A 19156-nucleotide genomic window follows, 5' to 3' on the forward strand; every position below is an offset into this window, starting at 1 on the left:
GCTGAGGCAGGAGAATCACTTGAACCCAGGAGGTGGAGGTTGCAGTGAGCAGAGATGGTGCCACTGTACTCTATCCTGGGCAACAAGAGCAAAACTCAGTCTCAAAAAAAAAAAAATAAAATAAAAAAAAATGGGGAAGGCAGGGAAGCAGGGAAGAGGGAGAACTATTTGCAGTAATTTTGTTATTTCAGACACATTTTTAGAAACATTTTGTCACATAGACCTCCAAAATGGTTCCCATGTTCATTTGTTAAACAAAAACAACTTGCATATTTTGAATTTCACCTTTGACTCAAACTCTTCTATATTTTTCAAATTATAACAATACTTCAGGTGGGTCCTCCTCATTTCTTAATTGTTCTATTTTATGAACTGAATGATCACTTTCCCATCATAGATTATAAATGTCAATTGTAGTATGACATAAAAGCCTCTGATCTGGTGACAGTGTGTGTGTGTCTCCACCCGACCTTCTGCTATTTCATTTATTTTTAGGTGATTCTTTGATGTAGCCCAGCCGCAAAAATCACATGATCAGCAAATAAAGGCAATTTTATTTCCTGCTTCCCAGTCACTTTGCCAATTATTTCTGGCTCACAGAATTGCACTGTCCATAATGTATTTAGCTCTCACAGTACAGAAGAGGCCGCAAGGAATACTTCACATACGTCATCTGATTTAATCCTCAGAGACTCCTAAAACAAGCAAACCAAAGCTTGCCCCAACCACAGGGCAGGCGGAAGCAAAGGTAGAAGCTGAACTCCAATCTAGGGGAGTCCTACCCCTTAACGCAGCTGTGCCGGAGCGGAATGTTGGAAAGTGCCTTGAGTCCCTGGATTTTAGTAAGGATACCTCGGGTGTTCTGCTGTTAGATGATGTTGATTGGTGGGCTGGGGCAAATATTCCCTACCAGGTTAAGTATATACTCTTTAGTAGATTTTTGAATATGCTAAATTCATGATATATGCTATGAATATGTAGATTCATGATATATGCTAGTTGAATATATATTATAATTATGATACATAATTCTTACATATGAAGACATTAATGGGCTTGCCTTTGTAACATCTATTTATCTGGCTACACGGCTTTCTAATAAACTATTAATGCCATATACTATATTAATAGATATATTGTTAAGGTAAGCCACCCTACTTTTTTGATAAATCAATTTTGATATTGGTAGATTTGACTTTTAATGAATTGTGAAGTCTGATTCATTAGTATTTTATGCAGAGGAGTGCTGGTAAATATCTAGCGCTCTGAAAAAATTATATGCACACATATGCTTACATATTTTTAAAAAATAAGTTCTACTGATATAAGGGATGTTTGGCACATAATCAACAAATAATAATACAATATACAATACTCTTTATTGTAAATGTCACACAAGCAATTGATCCTCAGAATGTTTTATTGAATTTGCTGAACTCCTGACTCTGTAGCCAACCTCTGGCTGCAATTGACAATCACTTTCAATATGAATGAGATGAAGGTTGGTTGATATTTTGATTTATGTTAGTGACACAAAAGTTTGACGAGAAGAACACAGTCGGAATTTGACTCATTTGTCCGTGATGTGAGGGCTTCTTTGCTGAACTGCATAATAGTTTTCCAATACAGGGGAGAATTTTTTCCAACACAGGGAGACTTTTTTCTCAGTTCATTGTGCTCATTACAATAACATGACTAAAGACATGAGCCACCTTTACATTTGATTTCATATTTTACATTTTGTCCTCCATTACTTCTGTAAGTTTAGACAGTCAACAAAACCAAACAAGGAAACAAGTCCTGCTGGGCAGCATTTGCCAGCCTCCATGGTGTAAATATTCCCGCGGGGATGCTGACCTCAGGCTGCCAGGGGGACTTCCGGGAGCGTCGGGCGAGGAGGAGCATGGCGGCCGTCCTCAGTGCATTTCCACCGCACAGGCGCGGGAGTAGAGGCGTGCAGAGGGTAAAACGGGAAGCTTCTTTAGTAAGCATTGCCTTTAAAAATACAATTTATTAATTTTAAATTTATATAGTAATGTCATAATGGCTTTCAAAATGGCTGTTTTTAACAATAGCCATTAGTAAATTTTTAAATAATGGCTATTTTTAATAACTAATATGGGTTTATTTTAAACATTTTTAAATAATGGCTACTTTTAACAACTGATATGGTTTGGCTCTGTGTCCCCACCCAAATCTCATGTTGAATTGTAATTCCCAGTGCTGGGGGAGGGACCTGGTGGGAGGTGATTGTATCATGGGGCGGATTTCCCCCTTGCTGTTCTCGTGATAGTGAGTGAGTTCTCATGAGATCTGGTGGTTTACAAGTGTGGAGCTCTTTCTCCTTTGCTCTGTCTTTCTCTCCTGCCACCATGGTAAGACCTGCTTGCTTCCTCTTCACCTTCCACCATGACTGTAACTTTCCTGAGGCCTCCCAGCCATGCTTCCTGTACAGCCTGCAGAACTGTGAGTCAATTAAACCTCTTTTCTTCATAAATTACCCAGCCTTAGGTATGCCTTTATGGCCATATGAGAATGGACTAATACAACAACCATCTTGCAAAATCCCCAGACATGTAAAAGTTGCCGCTCGGGGATTACACAGACAACTGTACATGAGCCCAAGCTGTGTTTCTCACACTCTGTCTTTTTTGTCAGGTTATTCATATCCAGATTTTTGCTATTTTTAAGATTTGAATTGAGTCGCTTTTCTGTGGTCTTGTTTTAACTTTCTTGTAATTCATATGGTATTGGAATAAAACGTTTCTTGAAATCTTGATGAAATTTGCCTATAAATCCTCTTGCCCTAGAAACAGTTATGGGAAAAAATTTTGACTTTTTTTAGTTCCATTGGTTATTACTGATAACCTCAAAATTTCTTCATCTTGAGTTGATTATTTATATTTACCAAAAAATTATGAATTATACCAATGTATTTAATTTATTTTTATTTTAATTCCTCTCCTTATACTCCTTATACAAATTCCAGTGGTTCTCTGGAGAGCTAATTGTTTGGAGTGTGGATCTGACTTGAGTTTCTATGGGAGCCTGTCCCCCAGCCTCTAGTCCCTTTTGTCCCAGCCCACACAGCTGGTGGTGGATGGGGCTGGCTTTGTTTTAAAGGCAGGATGATGGTGGTGTGAGTTCTTCAGAAAGAGGCTTCTCTAGAGAGAACCAGCCTTACCATCCAACTAACCACTTCAGATTCTCTGAATAAAGGAAGACATCAAGAGAACAGCATGGTCCCTGAATCCACACAGGTGCCCTCAGCAGGCTCAGCCCACGCGGCCCCTCCTGTGCCTAAGCTGGGTGGGCTCCGAGTCAAGGACTGCTCTGAGTGTGGAGAGAGCTGGTTACAGGGAGCTAGTTACAGAGAGAGAGAGCTGGTTACACAGAGCTGGTTGCAGAGAGCTGGTTACACAGAGCTGTAGACAGTGAGATGTGGTAGACCAGTGGTGGGTGGACAGGGTGGCCGAGCAGGCAAGGGAGTCTCACCAAGAAGCAACCTGCAGAGAGATTGAGGAGGAGTTTCCCAAGGAAGGGGGTTTACCTTAGGCTGGGCTTCATGACAGGCCGGGGGCTCCAATAGCAGACATTTATTCCCACAGTTCCAATGCTGGACGTCCAGGATCAGGGTGTGGGCACAGTGGTGGGCTCTGGGGAGGCCCCCTGGCTCTGAGGGCTGCCTTCTTCCTGTGTCTTCATGGGATGGAAAGAGTGGGAGACACAGTCAGCTCTCCCTGTCGGACACTGCCCCATCTTGAGCACACCACCGTCATCGCCTGATCTCCTTCCTCTCAAAGTCCCACCTCTTGATGCTACCACCTTGAGGGTGAGCTTTCAAAATAGGAATTTGGTGGGGGACACAGACATTCAGACCATACCTGGGATGTAAGCAGAATCTTGGTAAAGAAGAGACACAGGGCGTTCCTGGAGGAAGGACAGCAGGTGAGGGCAGGCAGAGGCAGGGTGGGGCTCAGGGACAGCCCGTATGTCTCCAGGCAGGGGACACAGCACTTCCCATGCCCACCCCAGCCTGTTCTATGCTTGTTCATTTATTTTAAGAATTTCAGTGTCTTCAATGGGTTCATTCAAAACCCAATTCCATACAAAAACATGGGAATTCCCCTTAATTTTTCAATAGATTTAGAGTTTGTTACTACACTGCATAGTTACTGTCCATCATGTTCATCATTTCGGACTGTCAGATTCTGCCTTCACACATCTCACTGCAGCCAAGTCAGGTTTGTAAAGGGCTCTAGTGCTGCAGCCTCCAGGTCCTCCTCTGCTTTTCTGTGCGGCCACCCCAGCCCGCAGGCAGCTCCTCCAGGCCTCTCTGTTTCTGCTCAGGAGGCTCCTCCTACCTGGTGCAGCTTCCTCTATCCATTCTTGTTTGAGAAATACCTGTTCCTCCTGGCCGCTCTTCCCAGGGTCAGGGCTGGCTGTCGTCACCTGGGGTGCCCTGCGGTCGCAGGCAGCACTGACCCCTGCAGCACAGCTCACAGCTGCTCACCTGCCTGCACCACCTGTGTGCAGTCCGGAGGATCGGCGGGAGGCAGATCTACATGCAGGGCCGCTCACACCTGTGAGCAGAATACATATGTGATATTGGAAATAATGAAAACAACTTCTAGTTAGTCAAACTAAAAGGAAAAAAATTAGATGGCTTAAAAACATTTGCAAATTTGTCGAGCAATGGAAATTAAATTATTCATACTCCGCACAAACCCTCTCTAAATCCACTGATGATCATTTATCGCATTCCTGAGAGAAATGAGTGGACTCTTAATATATTTTTTAATCTGATGTCATTTATATCGTACCAATTAAGTTATTACTGAAAGAAAGGGTGAAATTGTAGTTAAATTATGTATGGAAAAGGTGTGGCGATGAAAACATCACTTAAACCTGTTAGCATCTTGGATTTTCTATCTGTAAAACAAAACATTTTATCTGAATTTGGCAACCAAACAGCACCTTAGGAAAATGGTGATGCTTATTAAACCCAGAGAGAACCCTGGAAGCCTAAGCCTGCTAGGTGCAGCTGCAGGGAACAATTTCCCTTCCTAAACGCAGGAATTCTTCCCTGAGAAGGCATCTGTGTTTCAGCTTTTGTGTTTGCAAAAGGACGACCTGCATGCTTCTGACCCCAGGAATGGGCGGCTTGGAGTCTTCCACGGTTGGCCCAGTGTTGACCGTTAGCAGAACAGAAGGGGGGCATGGGTCCAACGCTGTAACTGGCTTGTGGCTGCTATCACGGACTCATGGTGGGCAGACCTGTGCCTGCAGGAGAGTGGTGAGGGGAGGGAGGTGGTGAGGGGAGGGAGGTGGTGAGAGGAGGAAGGTGGTGAGAGGAGGAAGGTGGTGAGGGGAGGGAGGTGGTCAGGAGACGGAGGTGGTCAGGGCAGGGGAGTGGTGAGGGGAGGGAGGTGGTGAGGGGAGGGAGGTGGTGAGGGGAGGAGAGCTGGTCAGGGGAGGGGAGTGGTCAGGGGAGGGAGGTGGTCAAGGGAGGGAGTCCTGGAAGAGGCTGGGGGTGAGATCCACATTCACACAGCAAACCTGAAGCCACTATTTGAGTAATTCAAGGTCAGTCGATTTTATTCTAAGAAAATAAAGTTTATTCTGCATGAATTATTCACATAATCATTTTCAATAAACATGTATAGTTATTTAGTACATAAATCTATTTATACGTATCAATAACATTCCTTGGTAAGTTTTACTAAGGAAAGTAAAATGGAGAGTTTTCCATCTCGGACTCGTGGAGTTGCCCCAGGGACTGTGTGAAGGGCTGGGAGAGCCGCCTTCTGTCAACCAAAGTGTGTGTCCTTCGACCCCTCCAGACTGGCCTCCTCGCTACTAACAAGTGAATCAACTGCCTTTCCAGAATGACAGCATCCTTAAGTGGACAGAGGGTGTGGTCAGACCGTCCTGGCCTCTTCCCAGTCTCTGACCTGCCTCACTCAGACCCTGTGCCAGAAGGTGGCTGGGGTTGGAGGGGGAGGCTGGAGAGGCTGCCATGTTTGAGGGATTGAAGTCTCCAGGCCGGGGTCTGAACGTGTGTTCTTGGGCCCCAGTGGGGAAGCATTGCTTACGTAAAGCCGTCGAGGGTCCCACAAAACCATCCAGCCTTAAGAAGGCTCTGAGCAGTCCTGCAGAAAGGCAGCCCATTTAAGCCAATTTACCCAGAGTTTCCCGAATTTATTTACCCAAGCGAACCCCTTTTTCCTTAAAATGTCTGTGAATCAATCATGAGATTGAAAGGTTTCACGCCCTTCTCTGCTTGGGTGCTATTCTCTACCTCCATGAACTGTTCTTGCTGTTCAAATCTGAGTAGAAATCCTGGACATTTGGATTTGCTTGATTAGAAAACCCTTGTTCTGATGAAATAAGTATCTCAACAATGAAATGAGAGCCACCACAATTCACAGGCATGGAGAAGGGCTCTTCCCTGACGTCTGCTCTCTCCTGTCTTCAGTCAGATGCGCTCAGCCCCCAGGACAGCCAGGACAGCTGTGTGGCAACCCAGCCTTGCAAAAAAAGATCAGCCAAAAATGAGACAGCAGCTGCCTGCAGGGAGTGGTGGTCGGGGCCACTGAAGGGCGAGGTTAGGGGATGTGAAGGGTTCCAAGTCAAGAAGGCAGCGTTGATTGACATACACATGGAGCCGCTGGAGCTCGGACTCACAGCTCATGATCTTGGCTTCATAGCGTCCCTTGAAATTCCGGCCCACGGCCCACGGCCCACGGCTCTCCCACGACCCCTGGGCCTTTCCTCTGGCCCCAGGTCAATGGTATCTTCCTCATCAGCTCTCTTCTTTGACTTTCCTTTTTTCTCTCGCTCTCTTTTTAAGATAATGTTTTAAACACCTTTTCCTTCGCAGGAAAGGCTGGAGGGCAGCTGCTCCCTCCACCCTCTGCATGCGGTGTCAGTGGGAGCCTCTCTGCTCTGATAAGGGCCAGACGCCATCCCCGGCTGGGCTGGGCTGCCAATCTATAATGTTCCTGGCCATGATTAATCTGATAAATAATAAATATATCAATCTAGTCTTTTAGACAAGGACAAATTCCTACCAGCAGGGAGGCATGAGGCCTCTTTTACAGCTGCCTGTAGTGCTGGGATTAATTATTTAATGCTTAATTCTTCGGGAAATGAGAAAGTTTTGATTAATGCTGTCCAGTGTGGTTTCTTGCGTGTTTGATATGTGTCAGATAATTTTTCCTCGGCAGTCACTCTGAAGAAGCCAGAGGCTTCTGTCACGGGGATCAGACACCAAATTTCTAGAGATTAATTGAAGTGAAAATTTAGAGAAAAGCACCATAAGTGCCCGCCTGAGATAACCTTTCTGGGCTGAATTTGGCTTTATCCGGGGGGCAGGACTCACTGTGCCTTTATGTAAAACACTGATTTTCATTGCTGTGAAAAACCAGATTTGGTTTCTAGTAGATTTTTTTTTTCATCTTTCTACCAACTTAACAGGATTAAAATAGTTGCTTGGCAGATGTTTCATCATTAATTCTATATCTGGTAAAATAGTAATGGGTGGATATCAAAAGTCAATGTTTCTTTATGATTCTGAAGCCCATTCAGTGAATTGGACTCAAAAATCCTTCTGTGGAGTTCAAGTCCGGTTTCAAAACTTCAACTCCTTCTCTTCCTCCTCCTCCTCCTCCTCCTCCTCCTCTTCCTTCTTCTTCTTTGAGAGAGAGACAGAGAGAGAGAGAGAGAGAGAGAGAGAGAGAGAGAGATTGGGGTCCTGCTATGTTGCTGAGGCTGGACTGGACCTCCTGGGCTCAAATAGCCCTCCCTCCTCAGCCTCCAGAGTAGCTGAGATTACAGCGCACACTAGGACAAAACATGTCTTTTTAATTTTTCCTTCAGCTTTTATTTTAAGTTCTGGGGTTCGCGTGCAGGATGTGCAGGTTTGTTACATGGGTAAATGTGTGGCATGGTGGTTTTCTGCACAGACCATCCTATCGCCTAGGTATTAAGCCCAGCATCCATTAGCTATTCTTCCTGATCCTCTCCTTCCCCCCGGCCCCCACAGGCCCCAATGTGTGTTGTTCCCACCTCCATGTGTCCGTGTGTTCTTATCGTTCAGCTCTCATTTTTAAGTGAGAACATGTGGTTCTTAAATTTGGTTTTCTGTTCCTGCATTAGTTTGCTGAGGATAACAGCTTCCAGCTCCGTCTACATCCCTGCAAAGGGCAGGATCTCACTCCTTTTTATGGCTGTATAGTAGTTCATGGTGTATATGTGCCACATTTTCATTATCCAGTCTATCTCTGATGGACAAAGCATGTTTACTATAAACAATGATCTGTGTTTACTACAGCCAATAACTACCTGATCTCCATCTGCTCTACAAATCCATATTTTCCAGAGTTCTGACTCAAAGACAAGGTACACTAATACATGAACTTCCTTTCATAATACCCTGACTTCTGCTCAAACCCATTAGGACCGTTAAATGTATGTCAGCTGCATGTGTGTCCCTCTGTGGGTGCTGCCAAATGGCTAGGACAGAAGGGCTCCGGGGTTCCGGGGCTCCGGGGGTCAGCAGGGAGGAGGGGGTCAGTGGCCCTGCCCTCCCTCCCATCACACCCTCCCACAGGTAAACCCCTTCAACCAACCTCAGGAACGCTCCCAGGTGACAAGGCTTCCCATTTCTACCACTTCTTTTTAAAATGCCCATTTCCACAGAGACTGAAGTTTCCACTTTGCCACTGTGTTTCTATCTTAATGTGGTGATTATGGACTAAGAAACCCCTTGCTCAGAAAGGAGGAAGGATGCACACAGTGAAAGTTAAAGAAAATTGAACCAGATTTATGATGAGGACCAGTTTCCTTCAGGACCTGACGCTCACACAAATGCAAACCAGCTTGGGTCAGTTCACAGAGACAATTTTCCCCTGCTCTTTAAAAGACTTTAAAAGAGAATATTTTAGCACCAAAGCCGCTAAAGCCTTCTTCCAGGGCTCTTCAGCCCCACAGTTTTCTCCCAGGTCCTCGCCCTGCTTTACTATTGACCTGTATCTAAGGGTTCCGAAGGCACATGGCTCTCTCCTGTCCCACAGCCTCCTGCAGAGAGAGCATGTAGCAAAAAGGAAATAATGATGCAGAACGAAGCATCGGGGGCACCAGCCCGGAGTTATCTTCCGCCATTTATAATGTGCACTGTCCTCATTGAAAAGTTGATGAAATGGCTGTGTTGACCAAGTGACCAGGGCAGACTATATTTCTTTTCTTTTCTTTTTTTGAGATGGAGTCTTGTGCTGTAGCCCAGGCTGGAGTGCAGCGGTACAATCTCGGCTCACCGCAACCTCCGCCTCCCAGGTTCAAGCGATTCTCCTGCCTCAGCCTCCAGAATAGCTGGGACTACAGGCGCGTGCCACCATGCTGTGATAATTTTTGTATTTTTAGTAGAGACAGGGTTTCGACATGTTGGTCAGGTTGGTCTTGAACTCCTGACCCCGTGATCCACCCACCTGAGCCTCCCGAAGTGCTGGGATTACAGGCATGAGCCACGGTGCCTGGCCCAGGGCAGAGTATATTTCTAATTCAAATTAAATTTGCCAATCAATTAAGTTCAACCATTAGCAAATTCTGAAAAGCAGGCAGCTTATACCACTTAAACAGCCTATGTCCAAGCCACATCTGGAGTTTCAAGTCAAACTGGAAAAGTGGTCTCGGGTCAGGGAGAGAGGCTTAGGGTGGAAGGTGGAGGGAGAAGAGGCATTTGCATCTGAGATGCTGGAGGTGAGAAAACCTTACACTGGGGCTGGCATAAAGAAAATCCACGTCTAAACTATGGGAAAAATCAGAAAAATGGAACATTTTTGGTATTTTGCATCTTTCTTCTATCCAGCATACCTTGGAACCCCAATGATGCATAGAAGTTCATTCTTAGTGTGCAAGAGCTTTTATAACAGGCACTGGACCGTTAAATGTATATCAGCCGCATGTGTGTCCCCCCGTGGGTGCTGCCACGTGGCCAGGACAGAAGGGCTCCGGGGCTCTGCGGGAAGGGGGCCAGTGGCCCTGCCCTCCCTCCCATCACACCCTCCCACAGGTAAACCCCTTCATCCAACCTCAGGAACGCTCCCAGGTGACAAGGATTCCTATTTCTATCACTTTCTCTTTGCTCAAAGCTGGGTTAAATTTGCCCATTTTACAAATGAAGAACTTTGGCTCCGGGAGATTTGCTGAATTTCCCACATTCAGGAAGTCAGGATGTGAATCTGGGTCTTAGCCTCCAAATCCCGTATCTTTTCCATTTCTTGGAACAGCGTGGAGAAGCTGGTGCCTGTAGGCCCGCTCCTCTCCATGCTAGGGGTGGACTGCTGAATGCCCTGGGTAAACCTCTGGCTTTAACACAGAGGGAGGCGTGGAGGGGAAGCTCCCTAATGGGGGTGCTTTTAGGCTGCAGAGTAATGGACAGAGCTCACAGAAAACAGAAGACATGGCTCTCATCTCTCTCTCTTTCTTTCTTCTCTCTCTTCACAAACTTGTAAATTTGAGCCAAGTCTAGGCCTCCCCAGAAGAAATGCACACACCTGCAATTTGCTTTTGCATTTTCTCACTGTCGTGTACAAGAGAAGATGGTCCCTGAAGCTCATGAGAGGGGACAGAAGAGCCTCTGCCCATGGATGCTGCCTGTGCCCTGGGAGTCCCCAGCCCTTCCAGGGCCCTGGGACAGAGTCAGGAGGCACCAGGGATGGAGGACTTGAGGCCTGCAGCCGCCTGTCCTTACTTGTTGAAGACCCCATTCTTCAGGGGCCAGTCCCGTATGCACTTCCTTCTCCAGAGTCTCCCAGACAGCCAAGGAAGCATACAGCATGGGAGCAGGACCCACCACGGCCTGGCTGAGTGTGTGCACCCTGCCAGCTCCTTCACTCCTCCAGGGGCATCTGAGGGTGGGATGAGCACAGAGCCAGGAACAGCAGGGGCCACCAACAGGAGGCTCCCCTACTGGGTGCTGACCCCCTGCGCCGGCATCTGTTGGAGTCTCCGGCCCCGTGACAGTCCCTACACTGCTGACCCTCACGCCTCTCAGGTCCACATTTCAGTCTCACATGTGTAGCTCAAGGCCCCACCGCCAATGATCAGGTGTTTCCTGAAATGACAGGCCTCAGGCCTCTCCCTTCCTGTGGTCCCTGAGGCTGTGCTGGTTTTGCTGTTGTTGATGTTTGAGACAGAGTCTTGCTCAGTCACCCAGGCTGGAGTGCAATGGCGCCATCTCGGCTCACTGCAGCCTCCACCTCCCAGGTTCAAGTGATTCTCCTGCCTCAGCCTCCCAAGTAGCTGGGATTACAGGCATGCCCCACCATGCCCAGTAATTTTGTATTTTTAGTAGAGACAGGGTTTCACCATGTCGGCCAGGCTGGTCTCGAGCTCCTGACCTCAGGTGATCCGCCTACCTCGGCCTCCCAAACCGCTGGGATTACAGGCGTGAGCCACCGTGTCCAGCCTGTGCTGTTGTTTTTCATCTACTGGGAGCCTCCCAAAGTGCTGGGATTACAGGCGTGAGCCACCATGTCCAGCCTGTGTTGTTGTTTTTCATTTACCGGGAGCCTTCCAAACTGCTGGGATTACAGGCGTGAGCCACCGTGTCCAGCCTGTGCTGTTGTTTTTCATCTACTGGGATGCAAACCTGAGGCACTGGTGTCTGTGAGTCGTCACGGGAGAGGGACCGGGTGGTTACCCTTCCCTGTGGAATCACTGCCTCAGAGAGAAAGAGAAAGGAGAGGAAGCTCTGTCTGCCGGAGGAGGTTTGGCCATCTGGGGGTGCAGGGCGGTGGGTGGCGAGTCAGCCGTGCACAGGTCTGTGGAGAGTATGGATGGGAGCACAGCCAGGTCTGCTGAGCACTGACGCTCCACGATGCTGCCGGCTTTCCCCATGGCGTGTATTCCACATATGCTCAGTCTCCCAACTGCAGGTGTGTTTATTACAGGGCCCTTGTCCTCTGTCGTCTACATCAGACCTGCCTCGTCCCATCCAAGCCGATCACCTTCTGAGAGGACCTGGCCCCCGAGCTCAGGAGCACCCCAGCTCTCAGGACACAGCCCCTCGTGGTGGGACAGCGCCTGCACCTGCAGCCCTGTAGCCCCTGCACAAGGAATTTGTTGAGGGAATTTGTATTTTCTGCTGCTTTCTCCTTGAACCTATTTGCATTTTAAATAATTAAAACATTAAAGCTGAAAAATTTATAAATGAGAGTGCTAAGAGAATCCTGCCTGGCAGACGGTAGAGAAAAAATCATTGCCCTGTTAGGTTTGCGCCAGTGTCCTGTCTGTCATTCTCCCCAAGGTGCGTCCACTGCTGTGGCTCGGGCCTCAGGCAGCTCTCTGGTGCACACACACAGTGCAATGGTGCACACACACACAGCATCACAGCAGACAAACTCACACGCATGGCCAAAGATGCCCCCACCCAGCGTCGTACACAAGCACATCCTTCCTCCTCCACACCCACCTCTCTCGAGACCCTGCCGTCTACCCCCTGACGCTTCAGGACTCTATGGAGGAAGACTTTGATCTCATTATTGGAACAACCTAGATGGAATCTCATCGGTCCTCAATAACCCTGTTTTCCCTTTCCCACTCCGTTTACTTTTCCTCTAAAAGTTCACTTGGAGGAAGGGAAGGGTGGCGAGGGTGGTGGGAGCGGCGGGCGGCGGGGAGTGACAGGCGCTTGGTCCGGCGCGGCTTTGCCTGGTTGTAACAAGCGTCGGGACATGCGGAGCCACAGAAGCCGGGCTGGCCACATCATCAATCACGGCGCTGACAGCCGCCTTCAGTTTGTTTGTTCCACTTTGCATAATAAGTGATCGGATCAGGTTTAATTAGATATTGGGTAATCAATCATTGCCAACGAGGCAACTCAGCTTGGGATCTAGATGCTGCAAGGGGAAAAGGCAAAAAAATAAAAACATAAAAAAACCAGCAAATCTCATCTTGTGTGCATAAATACTCCAGCCCATGAGCACACACCGTGGTGTGTGACCGAGAGAGGTATAGAGATGTCTGCAAGACGCGAGGAAGAGAATAATTCACATCTGTGCTGCCGCTTCCCAGACAGCGCCGGCTGACATTTTACTTTCACTGCATAATTACTTTTCAATATAATATAATATGCAGACCTGAGGGAGGAAGGAAAAGCAATTAAATTATGCTCCCGCCGCCAGCCCCAGAAGTGACCAGGAGCTGTCGTTACAATGCGTAACAACTTAGGTTGAGGTACGAGACCAACTAGGGCGTCCTGCCTTTTGGGGGCCCAGTCTCCGTGCGGGAGCCTCAGAAGAGCCTGGTATGGTGTTCCATCACCAGCTGCGAGACGCTCAGGTTATGGCTTCCTGCTTTAATATCAGTAGCCAGATCTATGCCACAGCTCAGGAGATCCAGGGAGAAAATGGGCCTCAACCACGGGTTAGTATTTATGTATTTATTTAAAAACTCCATTTAACCTCATGGGTGGCGAGAACAAGGAACATCATTGCATCCATTATGTGGATGTCAAAGGTTATGTCAATTCTTGTATGCATCTAATTAGACACAAAGACCGCCAGGTCTATTACAAACCTGGGGACTCTGAGTGTTCATCAAGGGTCAGGAGGCAGACCCCTGTGGCCTTCAATGCCCATTTGCACCACTCCTAATTTCTTTGTGTTATAAATAGATACACCCTTCCTGATTCTGATTATAATTCCTGTGCATGAGAGGAATGGGCACCTCCAGCTCCTGAAAGAACTGATCCTTCCGCATTCCTCAAGGGGTGAGCTGGGAGGGCACCTCTCTCTTTCCTCCTGTCCTCTTCACATTGCAGACAGAATTTTTTAACTACCTATTCCCCTGGAAAGAGGACATGTGTGGGTGTGTTACAGGTAAACCAAAGATTCTATGGCTTGGTAGAAGTTTCTGCATAGGTGGGTGATTGAGTAGGTGGTAAATGGATAGATGAATGAATGGACAGATGGGTGGTGGATGAATAGATGGGTGGATGGGTGGGGGAGTGAGTGGGTGGGTGAGTGAGTGGTTGGGTGGGTAGGTGGGTGGATGGGTGGGTTATTGAATAGATGGGTGGATGTGTGGGTGAGTGGATGGATGGGCAGATGGATGGGTGGATAAACAGCAGGTGAATGAGAAGACGAGTGGATGTGTGGATGAGTGGGATGGGTGAATGTGTGGGTGGATGGATGGATAGATGGACAGGTAGGTGGAGTGTGGGTGGATGTTTAAATGGATTGATGTGTGGGAGGATGAATGGGTAAGTAGATGGATAGAAGGGTGGGTAGATGACTGAATAAGTGAGTGTGTGGATGGATAGATGGGTAGATGAGCAGATGGGTGGGTAGGTGGTGGATGGGCAGGGGATGGGTGGGCGGATGGACGAGTGGGCAGGGAGGCAGGTGGTTGGGTGGATGAGTGGATGAGTAGATGAGTGGACAGGTGGATGGGTGGGTGAGTGGATGAGTGGGTGGCTGAGCAGGTGGATGGATGGGCAGGTGGATGGGTGGATGGGTGGAGAAGAGGATGGGTGGGTGGTGAATGAGTGGGTGGGTGGGCAGGTGGATGGGTGGGTGAGTGGATGAGTGGGCAGGTGGATGAGTGGGTGAGTGGATGAGTGAGAGAGTAGATGAATGGGCAGGTGGATGGGTGGGTGGGTGAGTGGACAGGTAGATGGGTGGGTAGGTGGATGAGTGGACAGGTGGGCAGGTGGATGGGTGGGTGAATGGGTGGGTGGGTGGACGATTGATGGGTGGGTGGGTAGATGAGTGGGTGAGTGGGTAAGTGGATGCGTGGGTAGGTGGATGAGTGGATTAGTGGGTGGGTGGACAAGTGGATGGGTGGGTGAGCGGAAGAGCAGGTAGGTGGGCAAATGGATGGGTGGGTGAGTGGATGAGTGAGAGAGTAGATGAGTGGGCAGGTGGATGGGTGGGTGAGTGGACAGGTGGATGGGTGGGTAGGTGGATGAGTGGACAGGTGGGCAGGTGAATGGGTGGGTGGACAAGTGGATGGGTAGGTGGGTGGATGGACAAGTGGATAGGTGGGTGGGTGGGTGGATGAGTGGGTGGATGGGTGGGTAAGTGGATGAGCAGGTAGGTGGGCAAGTGGATGGGTGGGTGAGTGGATGAGCAGGTAGGTGGGCAGGTGGGTGGGTGGACAAGTGGATAAGTGGGTGGGTGGATAAGTGAGTGGTTGGACAAATGGATGGGTGGGTGGGTGGATGACTGGGTGGGTGGGTGAGTGGATGAGTGGATGGGTGGATGAGTGGGTGGGTAGACAAGTGGATGGGTGGGTGAGTGGATGAGTGGGCAGGTGGGCAGGTGGATGGGCTGGGTGGATGAGTGGATGAATGGGAGAGTGGAGCTGCTGGTTCTGTGACTTCCTTCAGCATCCTTGCACAAAGGAGCATCAGCCATGGAGCCCTGCCTCTGCTACGATGAGGGCCAGTGGCTAACGGGGCAGTGGTGCGGTATGACCTGCCCAGATATATGAGTGACTTCCTCACATAGAAAGGGAAGGAAGAAACAGTCTTCCTTGGATTAAGTAACCAACTAAAATATAACTTTATAATAATATCTGGCTTTAATAGTTCAGATTTTAACCATTGTATAGAATAAAAGTTGAAGGTATTTTATTGGACAATAGAATGTAGAGTAAACACAGCAATGAATAGCACCTGTAGCATTTGTGGCAGAGTCTAACATCAGGGGGCCAAGAGCTTGCCATGGGCGGTTCTGCCTGACAATGAGTGGTGGAATTCACGGCTCCCTTTTCTCATGAACACACTCAGCTCCACCTCTCCTCAGAAGGCAATCCTGGTGCCCCTGCTCCCTGACCTGGGGCTGAGGGCCTTACACTACAGCCTGCTCTTTGGGATGGGCTGCCTGGTACCCGGGATCCTGTTTCTGGGCAGCCGTCACGTCACCCTTCCCCTGGGAGTAAGGATGACTGGTAAATCAATGTGTGTGGAATATGTTCTGGTGACATGCACAGCAGGGACACGCAAGGGTGCTTGTGGCTTGGCTGCTCTTCCTGGAAGGAGGCAGAGGTGGGCTCAGCGAGGTCAAAGGTCAGCAGGGCCATTGTGGGGCTTGGCCTCTGACTGGGTCATCGTGTCCAGTGATGGCCAAGGACAGATAGAGGCAGAGCGGGCCTGACCCAGGCCCTCCTTGGGCAACGTGGAGGAGCAGGCAGGGCCTGATGGACAGGTAGCAGGTGAGCATCAGGTGGGCCTGTGACAGGCAGGTGAGGAATAGGTAGCACTGCAGGCAGGCGAAGGGCAGGTGGGCCTGTGGCAGGTAAGTGACAAGTGGTGAGTGACAGGTGGGCCTGCAGCAGGTGAGGGACAAGTGGGCCTGCAGCCGGTGAACAGCAGGCAGGGAGCTGGCATGCTATTGAGGGCTCTGTCTCCTGCGTTGAGGATGAGCTCTCTGCAAATGTCCTGTCGTTGGCCTGGGTGCGTTTCTTCTCCGCATGTCTCCTCCAGATGAGCTGGAGTGTTTAAATGAAATGAGTCACCTTAACTGACAGTATCTCCCACTTGCTCCCAATCCACAATTTATTTGTCTTTTGTGTTCCTTCTTGGCCTTATGGGGGAAGCGTTTTTCTGTCTGTGTTCAGAGCTCATTTTCCTTAATCCTGGATTAGCCTCTTGGCCCTCGTGGCCCTTTGCTCTATTTTCAAGGGCTCTGATGGCGTTTTTTCTCCTGTGCGGTAATGACAACAAAATAGAGTTTTGTAGAAGCTTCATGGTTTCTTCCAGGGAATTACACAATCCCAGCATATGTGCCAGGCCTTTACACTCTTTGACATGTTTAGTCTGTTTCTTGTGTTTTGTTTTTGCACTTACAGGAAGAGACTGCGTGGATATACTGCGTGTTTCAGAGAGAAGGTAGAAGCAGGTCCCGGTTTGGAGGGTCCTAATCCACTGGCCACCTTAACCATGTGGGAAGGAGGGTGGGTCACGTCTCTCCTGCACTAGACCCTCCCTGGGCCTACCTCATTTATTTTACATGCCTCTCTGTTCCCAGGACATGACCTTCTATGATGAGATACTGTTCCATTTGTTAAGGGAAAGAGCCCTAAATTGGGGTTAGCTGAGAGAGTAAATGGAGATGGAGAAGGTCAGCAGCTTAGGACAAAAGGAGTTTTTCGAGCATCAGGACAAAATAAAGTCACAGTGTTACGGCTGTGTGACCCACTCCTTGTAAGAGTAAAAGGCCAGAGATGTAAAAGTTGAGGTGCTCTCGGCATCCACACCAGATTTTCCTCTCTGCAATCGCATGCAGATAGAGGATTTCTCACAGTGACCAGCTGGTCTAGGTTTCCTCCAGGCTGGCCAGTCCCACCAGAGTGAGGGTGCATGGTGACAGAGGCCCCTAGGCTGAGCCGAGGCTGAGCCTGGGTTGGGGGCTTGGCCGACTGCCGGGGCCTGGTTGGTTGGGAAGGCTGCTACTGTCTGTGGGTCAGGTTTGGGGCCAAGGTGATCTCAGGGGGACCCAAGGCCTCCCCAGCTGAAAGGAGCAGAGTGAGGAACACTGGGTGAGCACTGGTCCACACTACAGGCCCGTTTCGCCCTATGACCCTGAAAGGCATGGGCTGAAGCTGCCGGCTGCTCCACATGTCCTGTGTGGACTTCTCAGTAAGGGAGGAGGGCTGTTTTCTGCTTTGGATCTGCCTGCCTCATGAGGTTGACAATTCGTGGGCCGCACCACCTGTGGGACAGGAGGCAGATCCATCAGGGCCCTGTGGAGATGGCAGGACCTGGATGGGTGAGGACCACATGGCCAGAGAGAAAAGCTGATCACACGGCGGCACCTACAGAGGTGGGACAGGAGGCTCCTGGACTCAGGGGAGGCAGCGGTGGATGCAAAGTCCAGGTGACCTTAAGAGTTGCCTCTACTGGGAAAAGAAAGAAATGGTGGCTGCCTGATCAGTGCTTGGATTTGTGATGAGCTGATATGGGGGACCCTCTGCAAATTCTCACTTCATGGGGGGTCCAGAGCCACGCAATATTACATAGGTTCAGAGGTCAGAAAGCAAGGACTTCATTACACACGGTTAGTCACAAAGGCATTAATGAGGTGCTAGGAGCTTCCCAGGAACAAAATAGATGGTGGTGACTAGCTCTTTGAAGCTATGAAGGAAGCTGTTTTTTGCTGAGATGGGTGTGTCATTGCATGAGGAGATGGCAGCAGGAAAAAACCACTGGCCTTTGCTGCCATCATAGCCTCTAACTCCTGGATATCTCCCCTTGGCTGCTCACCTCAGTGGCTTTTCTCAGAGGAAGGCTCAGAATTTCAGAAGTTGGCTTCACCCCTTCATAGACAATCCAGGGGGGACAAATGGAGGCTTTGGGGTGCAGGGCGCTTGATGAGTTAATTGCACACGAACATAGAAGGTTTGAGCTCCGTACCCACCGGGGCCTGAGCAGACTTCTCCTCCTATTTCCCAGACCTCAGTTTCACTTCAGCTGAGTATTTTGAAAACAGCCATAGGATCCAGGCTGGTGAGCAGTTGGGATGGAGGAGACAGCATTCCTCCAGCCTTGGAATCTCGATGAAGTTGCCTCCCCATATGTACAGGAGCGACCTCGCCCCGGGCCTGGGGCTGCGGCATGTCTCTGTGGAGGGGTCAATTTGGTGCCCTTTGGTCCTTCACTTTCTGCATCATACACTAGCAAATCACTGGCTCTTGGTAGCAAGTTGATATTCAATTGCAGGGGAAGTAAGGAAGAAACGAATCCAAAACATCAAATTTGTCCAAGAAGTCAGTTTTGTTTTATTGTCTCAAAAACCAGTTTGACCTAGGCTCAAAAAATAATTTGAAAAACTCAAGCTGGAAATGTGCATGCCCAATGCCCCATCAGGTGGGAAGTGTGTGCTGTCATCTCAGACTTGATAGGACACGACTAAATGGGGGCAGCGGGGAAGGAGCTGAGTGGGGAAGTGCTGCGGGACCTGGCACTCAGCGCTAGTGTTGGTCTGGGATCCGCAGCCTCCCTCGTCACCCCTAACAGCGTCTTCCTCATGTTCTGACAGATGAAGCATCAGATGAATCGATGACCTGAGACAACCCTAAGGGACGCCCACCCGCGCTGTCTTTATCCAAAAACCTCTACTGCCTCTATTCTCCCTTAAACACAAAATGT

At 49.0% G+C, this 19156-nt stretch overlaps 1 long non-coding RNA gene across 1 annotated transcript, besides 2 other annotated features; it reads left to right on the forward strand.

Moving 5' to 3' along the window:
* The first annotated feature begins 682 nt into the window (after nucleotides 1-682).
* Nucleotides 683-12214, forward strand: LOC124901166 (uncharacterized). The gene is made up of 2 exons (XR_007059105.1): nucleotides 683-842; nucleotides 11955-12214. It is a non-coding gene; the product is annotated as an uncharacterized LOC124901166 (long non-coding RNA).
* Nucleotides 2877-3404: an enhancer, noted in NCBI's record as "NANOG-H3K4me1 hESC enhancer chr5:2269269-2269796 (GRCh37/hg19 assembly coordinates)". NCBI's record gives its function as "activates a minimal SCP1, AML or CMV promoter by ChIP-STARR-seq in naive H9 embryonic stem cells {active_cell/tissue: H9 hESC(naive)}" and the evidence as "EXISTENCE:reporter gene assay evidence [ECO:0000049][PMID:30033119]".
* Nucleotides 3405-3931: an enhancer, noted in NCBI's record as "NANOG-H3K4me1 hESC enhancer chr5:2269797-2270323 (GRCh37/hg19 assembly coordinates)". NCBI's record gives its function as "activates a minimal SCP1, AML or CMV promoter by ChIP-STARR-seq in naive H9 embryonic stem cells {active_cell/tissue: H9 hESC(naive)}" and the evidence as "EXISTENCE:reporter gene assay evidence [ECO:0000049][PMID:30033119]".
* Nucleotides 12215-19156: the final 6942 nt, after the last annotated feature.

Source organism: Homo sapiens, chromosome 5, assembly GCF_000001405.40.
Source record: "Homo sapiens chromosome 5, GRCh38.p14 Primary Assembly".
NCBI classification, from domain to species: domain Eukaryota; kingdom Metazoa; phylum Chordata; class Mammalia; order Primates; family Hominidae; genus Homo; species Homo sapiens.